This window comes from Homo sapiens, chromosome 17, assembly GCF_000001405.40.
Source record: "Homo sapiens chromosome 17, GRCh38.p14 Primary Assembly".
NCBI classification, from domain to species: Eukaryota; Metazoa; Chordata; class Mammalia; order Primates; family Hominidae; genus Homo; species Homo sapiens.
Genome location: NC_000017.11, coordinates 3,231,529 through 3,242,361, shown reverse-complemented (window position 1 = coordinate 3,242,361; position 10,833 = coordinate 3,231,529). Strand labels below are relative to the sequence as shown.

The window sequence follows — 10,833 nt, the reverse complement described above, 5'->3', positions numbered from 1 at the left end:
GCATTTATGTTTGAGAGTTTTGTTTTCAGGGGTGGATGGAATTCTTGCATAAAGAGAAGGAAGGTGAGGAACTACAGAAATAAAAGATAGGATGGTCTTTCCAAGGGCAAGGTCTGACTTCCTACAGAGAAAAGGAATGCAGGGAAAAGGCAAGAGAGTGTTGCTTTGAGGCCCCAAAGATAAAATCAACCCAGAGCACAAGAGGAATCTTGTTGGCATTTCTGCATGAACCATATGAGCTGTGTCCAGAGTGACTATATGTCAACATTGAAGTGGTGCGTGTTGTACCTGTTAGAACATCAAGAAAGGGGAAGCCTCACCCAGGGCATCTGTGGTAGGGGTAGTGCAAAGTGTCTTCTCTAAAGAGCTTGAAGATAGCAGGCTCCTTAGAGAAGCCAAACCTCTGGGTCATAAGTGAATGGGTGCTAGAAAACATGAGAGCCCTCCCTAAGCTATGACTGTGTATATATAGATAAGCCTAGGACTGTGGGCCTATGATCAAGCAGGTTTAAATATTTGACCCTGTAAAATCCTGGTAGTAGTGTTAGCATGACATTATTTATTGCCAAGGCTGGTGAGGTCTGGGAGGCACTGGGATACACATTGTGTCTTTTCTTCACCACAGGTAGATATGCTCATCCTGATCTGGAGCTGTACTCTGACTGTTGCATATCCCAAAGCATAATGCCTTATGTGTGGAGAAGGATATTTCCGGTCTCCACTTCAATCCCCTTTCCAAAATTACCTTCATTTAGGCCTCTGAAAGGGTCTCCATAGGACTCTTCCCGGAGCCCCATGCATGTCTTTGTTCCTCAGCCTGTAGATGAAAGGGTTCATCATAGGTGTCAGCACAGCATACATCACTGTGGCTACTGAGTCCTTCATGGAGTAGGTATGGAGGGGCTGCAGGTACACCATAGCAAGCATCCCATAAAAGAGGGAGACCACACCCAAATGGGAGGCACAGGTAGAGAAGGTTTTGTATTTCTTAGAGGCTGAGGGCATTTGAAGGATGGTTCTGACAATACGTACATAGGATGTGGTCATGAACCCTAAGGGGGTGAGGAAGATGAAGCAGCCAGTGGCAATCAACACTGTGTGAATGATGTGGGTGTTGGAACATGCCAGCCACAGCAGGATGTACATGTCACAGAAGAGGTAGTGGATCTCTCAAGGCCCACAGAAGGTCACCCTGGTCAGGAGGAAGGTGAGGAGGAGGCCATAGAGAACAGACAGCCCCCAACACAAGGAGAGGAGCAAGACACAGAGCCCAGGGCTCATGGCTGTGACATAGTGGAGGGGGCAGCAGATGGCCACATAGCGATCATACGCCATCACGGCCAGGATGAGGTTGTCCAGGGTCACCAAGGAGACCAGGAAGTAGAGCTGTGTCAGACACCCTGCATAGGAGATGGCTTTGTTCTGGGACTGGAAGTTCACCAGCATCTTGGGGATTGTGTTGGTGACAAAGAAGAGGTCAGTGAAGGAGAGGTTGGCCAGGAAGAAGTACATGGGGGTGTGCAGGTGGGAATCAGAGCTGATGGCCAGGATGATGAGCACATTTCCCAGCACCGTGACCAGGTACATGGACAGGAACATCCAAAACAGGATCTGCTGCTGCTCAGGACTCTCTGAGATCCCCAGGAGAAGGAACTGTGAGTTCTCACTCTGGTTATCTCCATCCATTCCCCCAACTTTCTGTAACATTAACACCAACAAATGTTTATTAAGTGCCCTCATTTGAATAAGGACACGAAGATAAGCAAAATCAACTCTTTTCTTAGAATTAAAATATCTTGGACTAAACTTTAAAAATAATAAAAGCAACAGGTCATTATAGGCACAAAAATAGAATATGGAAAGTATGCAACTTATTTATTCCAGCAACTTCTCACCTGACATAATGAATATTATAAAAACAATGTCTAAGCCTTATTTTTAATCCTGCCATCTTCCAATAGTCTTGAAGTGTTTAAAGTTTAGTGTGTTATGTTATGATTTTATACAGGGTTTTAAGTGGTATTTAATACAGGTATATGCATTACAAGAAAAGATTATTGTCCAATTGGAGGAAGTGGAGAAATAAAATATTGGAAAGGAGAAAGAAGAATTATTATTACTTGTTGATATAATGATCTCTCTGGGAAATCTAAGAAAATGAGTGGAAACATCATTAGAAAAAAAAGATGTCTGTGATTAGTCAGTGAAGTGACCCATGACAAAATGAACAGGCTCTCAGCTTTCATGGTCCCCGTAAGCCACGTAGTGCAGTGCTAAAGACCGTCCTGTGGGAACTCTTTTTTTTTTTTTTTTTAATTTTAATTTTAGATTTGGGGGTGCATGTGCAGATTTGTTACAAGGATATATTGAGAGATGCTGACGTTTGGGCATCTATTGATCCCGAACTCTTAAATTCAAGTCAAAGCACTGCCTCTTCTTGGCTGTAATGCCTCAGGCAGGTCACTTGTGTTCTTTAAGACTCAGGTTTTTTAAATGTGAAAAATGGGTTGGGGTGAGGAGAAAATTAAGGAATAAAGTACTTAACACAAAGAGCTGACATGTGGAGAGCACTCAATAAATAGTACCTGTTATTATATATGAATGATAAGAATACTAAGATTAAAATATGAAACACATTATCAGCAAACAATCTATGCATTAAGATATTAATAAGAATCAGGTATGGTCTTCAAATTCTCTATTGAGGCATAAAGTAAAAATTTATTAAATGGACAGATATAACCAAGATTCTAGATAAAAAAGATGAGATGTTGCAAAGGTGCATATTCTGAGTTGTTCTAAAATTTAACCTATTTGAAAGTCAAAATTGTAACAGGGTTTTAAAGAAACAAGAGCTAGTTTAAATTTCCTATAAAATAGGAATGAAAATAAGCTAGGAAAATGTTGAAGACAAGGAGACACTTGCTCTATTAAGAACTTTAAAATAGTGGGGGTACTGGTGCTAGAATGAACAGATCAGTAGAACTGTCTAGAAACTTAAGAAACAGCCAAGTTCATGTGGAATGTGACACTTTAATTCACCAGGGAAAGGTTGCATTATGCAATAAATGACATTAGGACAACTGTCTACTTATTTTTTGGGAAAAGTTACATCAATGTTTTGTATTTTATCAAACATACTAAAACATACCAAACATACTAGTATATTTTATCAAAATATACTAAAGATTAAAAAATTATTTTTTCCTTTTGAAAACTGAATGTATATGGAATAAAACATTAAAAATCTGAAAAGTTATAAAGGAGATAATAAAAATTGTATCAAATTCCAGCATGTAGAGTTAGATAACCATGGCTAATGTCTTTTTAGCCGAGACATGAAGGACCACAAAAAGCCAGTCTTGTAACACAATAGGCAAAGAGCTTTGCAGAAAAACAGCCACCCTGAGCAGAGCCCCTGAGCAGGGAAAGGTCGTTCTTGTGTTTAAGGAAGTAAATATAGGCCAGCATGTCTGGGAGCAAAGAGGATATTGGTGAGACAGGATGTTGTGCAATGGCCAGTAATGAACTGTAAAGCAGAAGTGGCTGTGCATATTTAGCAACTATTGTTTTTCTTCATAGTTTATCAACAGTATTTAAAAAATCAGGTATGGCTGTTGCATTTTTAATAAAACACTTTTTCAGTGTCACTCAAGATACATTATGTGAATAGCCTTCTTAATATGGAAGCATACTTGTATGCCCATTATGAACCACTGAATCAATTTGCTAATATTTTATTTAGACTTTTGTAGTCACAATTATTCGTGAAGTTTGTCTACGGTCTTTTTTGGTATCTGCCTTTTTAGTACAATTTGGCTTGCATCAGAGTCCATACTAAACTTGTATTCACTTATTGTCAAGTCTAACATTTAAAATTTCCTGCAATTTCTTTAATGGCTTACAAGAGAAATTTTAAAAATATTTTGTCGAATTCTTTTTGTATACATTTATTTATTTAGAGATTGGGTCTCACTCTGTTGCCCAGCCTGGAGTACAGCAGTGTCATCACAGCTCACTGTAGCCTTGAACTCCTGAGCTCAAGCCATCCTCCCACCTCAGCCTCCCGAGTAGCTAAGACCACAGGCGTGTGTCACCATGGCTGGCTGATTTAATTTTTTTCTGTAGAAACAGGGTCTCGCTATGTTGTCCAGGCTGGTCTCCAACTCCTGGCCTCCAGCAATCCTTCTGCCTTGTCTTCCCAAAGTGGTTTGATTATAGTCATGAGCCACTGAGCCTGGCCTTGGAATTCTTTTTCTAAATAAAAATAGCTTCAGCAGGGTGCAGTGACTCATGCCTGTAATCCCAGCACTTTGGGAGGCAGAGGTATGCATATCATTAGGGCCCAGGAGTTCCAGACCCAGCCTGGGCAACATGGCAAAACCCCATCTCTACTAAAAATACAAAATTAACTGGGTGTGGCTGCAGATGCCTGTAGTCCCAGCTACTTGGGAGGCTGAGGTGGTAGGATCACCTGAGCCTGGGAGGCCGAGGCTGCAGTGAGCCACGATTGTGCCACTGCCCTCCAGCCTGGGCAACAGAGCAAGACCCTGTCTCAAAAAAATGGCTCTAAAAAACTATATTGTAATCTATTGATTATAGACAAAAAATTTCCAACGTGAACAATTAAAGCAATACCAAAAAATTTATACAATAAGTAAAAGTCGCCCCAAATTCTGTCAGAGCAGCCACTGTTTACACTTTGGTGAAGATACTTTCCGTTTGATTCATTCAGTCATCTTTATTCACTCAGCAATGTGATGGGGAACTTCCTCCAAGTCAATATTGTCATTAGCTATTTTTGTTGTTGTTGTTGTTCAGGGACCTTATTTTTCAGCCTGCATGATAGTTGTTTTTTTCCGAGATGGAGTCTCTTGCTGTCACCCAGGCCGGACTGCAGTGGCACAATCTCGGCTCATTGCAACCTCTGCCTCCCGGCTTTAAGTGATTCTCCAGCCTCAGCCTCCCGAGTAGGTGGGACTATAGGCGCCCACGACCATGCCCAGCTAATTTTTGTACTTTTAGTGGAGAAGGGGTTTCACCATGTTGGCCAGGCTGGTCTTGAACTCCTGACCTCAAGTGCTCCACCTGCTTTGGCCTCCCGAAGTGCTGGGATTACAGGTGTGAGCTGCATGATAGTTTTTAAATCTTAATATTTAAAAAAAAACAACCCAGCTACAGGCGTACCTTGGAGATATTGTGAGTTTGATTCCAGATCACCTCAATAGAGCAAATATTGCAATAAAGCGCATCACACAGTGTTGTGGCTTCCCAGTGTATACGTGTTACGTTGACACTATACTGTAGGCTATTAAGTGTGCAGGAGCATTATGTCTAAAAATGTACATTCCTTAATTAAAAATACCTTATTGCTGAGAAATGATAGCAATCACCTGACCCTTCAGCAAGTTATAATCCTTTTGCTGGTGGAAGATCTCACCTTGATGCTGACGGCTGCTGACTTACCAGTGTGGTGGTTGCTGAAGTTTGGGGTGGCTTTGGCAATTTCTTCAAACAAGAACGATAAAGTTGGCCATATCAGTTGACTCTTCCCTTTAGGAAACATTTCTCTGTAGCATGCGATGCTGCCTGACAACATTTTACCTACAGTAGAACTTCTTTCAAAATTGGAGGCCATCCTCTCAAACTCTGCCACTGCCTTATCAAATAAGTTCATGTCTATGCTGTATTCTTTGTTGTCATTTCAACCGTGTTCACAGCATCTTCACCAGCAGTGGTGTTCATCTCGAGAAACTGCTTTCTTTGCTCATCCGTAAGAAGCAACTACTCATCGGTCCAAGTTTTATTACGAGATTGTAGCTCTTCAGTCACATCTTCAGGCTCCACTTCTAATTCTGTTCTCTGCTCTTTCCATCACACCTGCAGTTACGGAACTCTTCCTCCCAGCGAAGTCTCGAACTCCTCAAATTCATCCATGAGCATTGGAATCAACTTTTCCCAACTCCTATTAATGTTGATATTTTGACCTCCTCCCATGAATCATGAATTTCTTAATGGCATCTACAATGGTGAATCCTTTCCAAGCTTTCCCTTACTTTGCCCAGATCCATCAGAGGAATCACTATCTATGGCATCTGTAGCCTTACAAAATGTGTTTCTTATATAATCATAAGTCTTGAAAGTAAAAATTACTCCTTGATCCCTGGGCTGCAGAATGGATATTGTGCTAGAGACATGAAAACAGCATCAACCTTCTTGCACATTGTCATCAGAGTGCTTGGGTGACCATGAACATAATACTTTGAAAGGAATATTATTTTCTGAGTAGTAGATCTCAACAGTGGCTTAAGATACTCAGTAAACCATGTTATAAACAGATGTGCTGTCATTCAGGCTTTGTTGTTGCATTTATAGAGCACAAGCAGAATAGATTTAGCCTAATTCTTAAGGGCCCTAAGAGTTTTGAAATGGTTAGTGAGTACTGGCTTCAACTTAGTCACCAGCTGTATTCGCTCATAACAAGAGAATCAGCCTGTCTTTGAAACTTTGAAGCCAGGCATTGACTTCTCTTCTCTAGCTATGAAAGTCCTAGATGACATCTTTTTCCAGGAGAAAGCAGATTTGTTTACATTGAAAATCTGTTGTTTAATGTACTCACCATCGTCAGTTATCTCATCTAGATCTTCTGGATAACTCGTTGCAGCTTCTACATCATCACTTTCTGCTTCACCTTGCACTTTTATGTTATGGAGAGGGCTGCTTTCCTTTAACCTTAGGAGCCAACTTTTTCTAGCTTCACATTTTCTTCTGCAGCTTTCTTAGTTGTCTCAGCCTCTGCAGAACTGAAGAGAATTAGGAACTTGCTCTGTATTAGACCTTGGCCTAAGGGAATGTTATTGCGGGTTTGAGCTTCTATCCAGACCACTAAAACTTTCTCCATATCAGCTAGAAGTCTGTTTCACTCTCTTGTCATTTGTGTGTGCAGTAGAGTAGCACTTTTTAATTTCCTTCAAGAACTTTTCCTTTGCATTGACAATTTGGCTAACTGTTTTGTACAAGAGGTCTAGCTGTTGGCCTATCTCTGCTTTCGATTGTCTTTTTCAACCAGCTTAATCATTTCTGGCTTTTGATTTAAAGTGAGAGGCATGTGACTCTCCTTTCACTTGTACACCTAGAGGCCTTTGTAGAGTTACTAACTGGCCTAATTTCAATACTGATATGTCTGAGAATAAGGAGGTCTGAGGAAAGGGAGAGAGACGGAGGAATGGCTGATCAGAGATGGAGGAATCGCTGATCAGCAGTCAGAACACACAAGACATTTACCGATTCCGTCCTACTTCTTATGTGGGTGTGGTCCATGGCACCCCCAAATAATGGCAATGGTTACGTCAAAGATCACTGGCCACAGATGAGCATAACAGATGTAATCATGATGACAAAGTTTGAAATGTTGTGAGAATTACCAAAATGTTACACAGAGATGTCAAATGGAGTATCCCTAACAGATATCTATAGAAAACTGCACCTCAAAATAGAACAAGATTCTTTTCAGCCATCCTTGGAATATTCCCCCAGACAGACCATATGCAAGGGCATAAAACAAACCTCAATGATATTCAACAGATGGAAATAACACAAAGTGTGTACTTCAATTACAAAGGAATGAAATTTGCGATGGAAAGAAGAAAAAATGGAGAAAACTCACATATTTTTGGTAATCAAACACCATCCTCCAAAATAACCAATGAATCAAAGAAGCAACAGAAACAAAAGATAAATGAAAGTGAAGATACAACTTTCCAAAACTTAAGGGACTCGGGGAGTGTAGGAAAAATGGTGGATAGGAGGCAGGACTAACTTGCAGTTCCCACTTGGACGGACAGAGCAGCCTTTGGAGACTCCCATCGTGAGCTTTTGCTCCAAGAACAACCACAGGAACATACCAGGAAAGCCGAGGTAGAGTGCTCACCTCTGCCTGAGCATGAAGCATGCTTCCGGACAAATTTATCGTGTATTTTCCCTACGGTAGCTGAGGCTCCCCATTTCCCCCACAATAGCTCAAGTTTATGGCCAGGCGGTCAAGGCCCAGGATGCTTCAGCCCCAGTGGACTCTCCTGCTTGCCTGACCTTCACTCTCTACTCTAGCAGTGCCTTTGCAGTTTGTATGGTTCTAGAATACACAAAATATTTTGTCTCTGTCCTTCATACTGATTGTTCCTTTTCACCAAATATGCTTTCTTCATTCTGCTTTTCCAGACTGAATTTTTTTCCTTCAATTGTCAGCCTGGTAAGACCTGCTCTAGCACCTGCTTAAGCGTCTCCTCCTCCTGACATCTCCCACCCCAGAGGTAACCACTCCAGTTTCTGCACTGTTTTGGGCCTTTGTATTCTTTTTCGGATTGACCCTTTGCACATTTTGCTTAACTATCCATTCTCTGCAAGACTGAGAGAGTCTCAAGGGTAGGGACATTACTCTGAATTCCTGCATCCTCAGGATCTTGCACAATGCCAGGCATAATGTAGAGATCAGTAAAACAAGGTTGAACTAAACTGTATAGAATAGTAGACATTTCATGCATTTGACATAAATGAATGGACAAGAGTCATGAGACCTGGCGCCTATGTATCGATGAAAATGTGGTTGCTTAGGGAACTAGCTGATGCCAGGGCAATGTGGAGCACGTTCTGCAAATTCAGTCTTGAACAGGATAAATTTGAAGTAGCAGCTGGGTAAGAAAATGTTGATGTGGGGACTGTGAGCAATGTAGAAGGTTAAAGTAAGTTGGAGCTACAAGCTTTAGTGGAGGTAGGATGGGGCAGGCAAGCATTTAGCAAATGAATGTGTTTTTTTAATTTTAATTTTATTTTATTTTATTTTTTTGACAGAGTCTCGCTCTGTCACCCAGGCTGTAGTGCAGTGGCGTGATCTCGGCTCACTGCAACCTCTGCCTCCCAGATTCAAACAATTCTCCTGCCTCAGCCTGCTGACTAGCTGGGACTACAGGCGCCCACTACCATGTCCAGCTAATTTTTGTATTTTTAGTAGAAACAGGGTTTCAACATGTTGGTCAGGTTGGTCTCGAACTCCAGGCCTCACGTGATCCTCCCACCTCAGCCTCCCACAGTGCTGGGATTACAGGTGTCAGCCACTGTGCCCAGCCATGAATGGACTTTTAAATCTCAATTTACAGATTTGATTTCCCTGATATCTAGGGTCAGTGGTATACTGAAAGGAAAGTTTGAGGCAGAAGTGTGGATTCAAATCCTAGATTAACGCATACAACGTTTCCCCCCACTCCACCCACCCCCGGCAAATAACTCCTCATTTCTGAGCACTTGGACAGAGAATGTGCTTACGTGCCTTATCTATATTAAGGTCTTTTATTTATCCCACACGCGGAACTATTTGGCTCTATGAGAGATGATTCCACCAAGAATTAGAAGAGCAATAATCTTTTTACAGTTACTCAGCTTGTAAAAGAATGGGGTCAGTATTTAACCCTCTTTACTGACTCAAAGCTGATGCCCCAACTACTCGACCGCGTGTTAAAGGACAGCAATAATGTCTACTTTATGCAACGTTAAGAGCTGAAATCCTGAATGTGGAAGGAGTTCTCTAGCTTGAAAGCTGATTTTAAATGGGAGGTGCTGTTATGGGGATGGCAAAGGGAGTCCTGTTTAACCATTTCCTCCAGCTTCTGTCTCCCAGCCCACTCCAGCAGGAAACTGTTCTCCATCCTGGACCTGGTTCTGCCCCCTACTCAGGCACCCTGGGATCCCTCAGTCCACCCTGGGGTCTGCAGGGAGTGGTCCAGGATGTCAGGGTTGGGACGTAATCGTGTCCGGACACTTGGTGCAGCTACATGGGAGACAGATGGGGGACATGTTATGATGGGCTTCCCATACAAAGGGATAAGCACTGCCTCGGTCAGAAACCAGGGGGCAAAGAGAGAGAGAGAGAAAAATAGGAGCCAGGCTGTCACCCAGAAGACTTAAGTACTGGGCCAGCGAAGGGCACTGGGAAGGAGGTGAACTCCCCGTCACAGAAGGGACTAGAACAGGCTGCACGATGCCATGGGCTGAGTGATCGTTTCAGAGCCAATTGGAGCATTTAGTGGAAGTAAGTGCTGGTTAAGGCCTTTTTTAGCAATAAGGTTCCAAATTACACATTCATGATGGAGTGGTCCTCTGGCATTTCAGTGAAAGTGGGAGTAACCCTGAGCACATGCTCCGGAGACTCTTTGTATCTACAGCTTCCCACATCTCTTATCTGTTAGTTGTCTTACGGCTCTAAGCACAAACGAGCCCGTTTATTTCCCACACTCCAGAACTTAACGTGCAGCCTTGATCCGAAGAGATCTGCGCAAAGTCAGAGCGATTTGACGGCAGAGATGAGCCCATGACCAAAGCTCTGCTTGCCTCTTAGAAAAGCGGTTACAATGAGAAAGAGGGAGCTGATGGGCTCATCCCTGAGATCACCCCAAGGCCCCTACGTGACCTGAGCATGAAAAGCAGCACCGTGGTGATTCCCTGCAGGGCCCCAATCCTGAGCACACTCGCCCACCACCTCTGTTTCTGCCATGGAGAGAAACGGCTTCCACCTTCTTAGACCCCAGAAGAAACTACTTCCTTCCCGCCTTCTGGGTGGGACATCTTCCCAACAGGAGAGAAGGTAGGAGGGAGGTGATGGGACTTCAGAAAACCAAGGCTGCCCAGAGGACTGGACACCTCTGCTCGCCCGCCCTAAAGGTATCATCTCCCACGCTGCAGTGAGCACTAGGATCACCTGCGATGCTCCAAGACAAAAAGCTGATTTTCCCGCCCCTTCTCGGAGGTGCTGGTTCTGTTCTGAGGACCAAGTTCTTTTTAGTG

The 10,833-nt window shown here is 42.7% G+C and overlaps 1 pseudogene across 1 annotated transcript; it reads right to left on the bottom strand.

The window, feature by feature from the left end:
* Positions 1-747: 747 nt before the first annotated feature.
* OR1D4 (olfactory receptor family 1 subfamily D member 4) lies at positions 748-1,686 on the bottom strand (annotated as a pseudogene). The gene has a single exon (NR_145519.1). The product of NR_145519.1 is annotated as an olfactory receptor family 1 subfamily D member 4, transcript variant 2 (transcript).
* Between the last annotated feature and the right edge of the window lie 9,147 nt (positions 1,687-10,833).